Raw genomic sequence first — 1,489 nt, forward strand, 5'->3', positions numbered from 1 at the left:
CTGGAGAGCAGGCTCATGGGGAAGCTTCCGTGCGTGGCATTTCACACCCTCAGATCAAATGCTGTTTAAAGGAGGAATAATACATATTAATGCAGCGCCTGCTTCAATTGCTTTCAAGTGGCAGGAGCTGACAGCGCAGCGTGCGCGGCAAGACTGTAGAAATAGCCCCTGACACTCTTGCAGGTTTACCTCAGCGATTCTTCCCGCACTATACCCAGAGGCTTTCTTAATTGGCCCTCCGAGGGGGTCGGGGTGTGCACGCGTGTCACCTGCAGCACCAGGGCCGGCAGCAGCGGGGTGGGCGGGCTGCCAGGCTCCGGGCTGCGCAGGTGTTCCTTCCACTGCCCGCCTCCGGTGGAGAGAGAGATGGCCAACCGATTTCCCGTTCGGTTCCTGGGGAATGGCCTGAGGAAGGCATACCGCTCCCAGTGGAAGTGAATAATCAGTGTCCCTGAGCTGTTCCCTGAGGTGACATTTGACTCACTTGGCTCCGCTTCCAGCTGTTGCAGGGGCCTCGTATCTCCCTTAAGCCGACAGGGGAGCTTTGAGCGGATGTACCTCCGCCAGCTTTGGGTTATTGTGAGAGCACCAGGGCCTGAAAATCCTGCGTGGGAATGAACTGTAATCAGGCAGGCTGAACTAGCACCTGTACCTAGGCCTGAGCCTGCCTCTAGCCACCTGCATTATTTAGAAACGCTCAAAGTAGTCCTCAGCTACAAGCTTCAGCTGAGAGCTGGGAGGGGAGACAGTCCATTCCCCCATCGCTGTGTGACGAAAGTGAACCTCTGCAAGTCAATTTTGTTTTAAATTTTTTTATTGTGAGAAAATACATGTAACGTAAAATTTACCATATTCTCCATTTTTTTTTTTTTTTTTTTTTTTTTTTACAGATGGAGTCTGGTTCTGTAGCCCAGGCTGGACGGCTGTGGCGCCATCTCGGCTCACTGCAAGCTCCGCCTCCCGGGTTCACGCCATTCTCCTGCCTCAGCCTCCCCAGTAGCTGGGACTACAGGCGCCCGCCACCACACCCGGCTAATTTTTTTTTGTATTTTTAGTAGAGACTGGGTTTCACCGTGTTAGCCAGGATGGTCTCAATCTCCTGACCTCGTGATCCGCCCTCCTCGGCTTCCCAAAGTGCTGGGATTACAGGCGTGAGCCACCGCGCCCGGCCCTCCATTTTTAAGTATACATACATTTCACTGGTACCGTATACATTCATAATATTGCTCAACCATCACCCACTATCCATTTCTATAACTCTTCATCTTGTAAAACTGAAATTCTTTCCAAATTCAATTAAATCTCCCCTTTTTCTTTTTCATCCCGACTCTTGACAACCACCTTTCTACTTTCTGTCTCTATGATTTTTGACTACTCCAAGTACCTCATCTAAATGGAATCATACAGTATTTGTCTTTTTGCGACTGGCTTATTTCAACCAAATATAATTTTAAGTCATAATTTATAGAGGACTCTATGTATGCCAAAT

The 1,489-nt window shown here is 49.5% G+C and overlaps 1 annotated feature.

The window, feature by feature from the left end:
* Positions 308–808: an enhancer, noted in NCBI's record as "H3K4me1 hESC enhancer chr5:143978403-143978903 (GRCh37/hg19 assembly coordinates)". NCBI's record gives its function as "activates a minimal SCP1, AML or CMV promoter by ChIP-STARR-seq in naive H9 embryonic stem cells {active_cell/tissue: H9 hESC(naive)}" and the evidence as "EXISTENCE:reporter gene assay evidence [ECO:0000049][PMID:30033119]".

The sequence above is a fragment of the Homo sapiens genome, chromosome 5 (assembly GCF_000001405.40).
Source record: "Homo sapiens chromosome 5, GRCh38.p14 Primary Assembly".
NCBI lineage: Eukaryota > Metazoa > Chordata > Mammalia > Primates > Hominidae > Homo > Homo sapiens.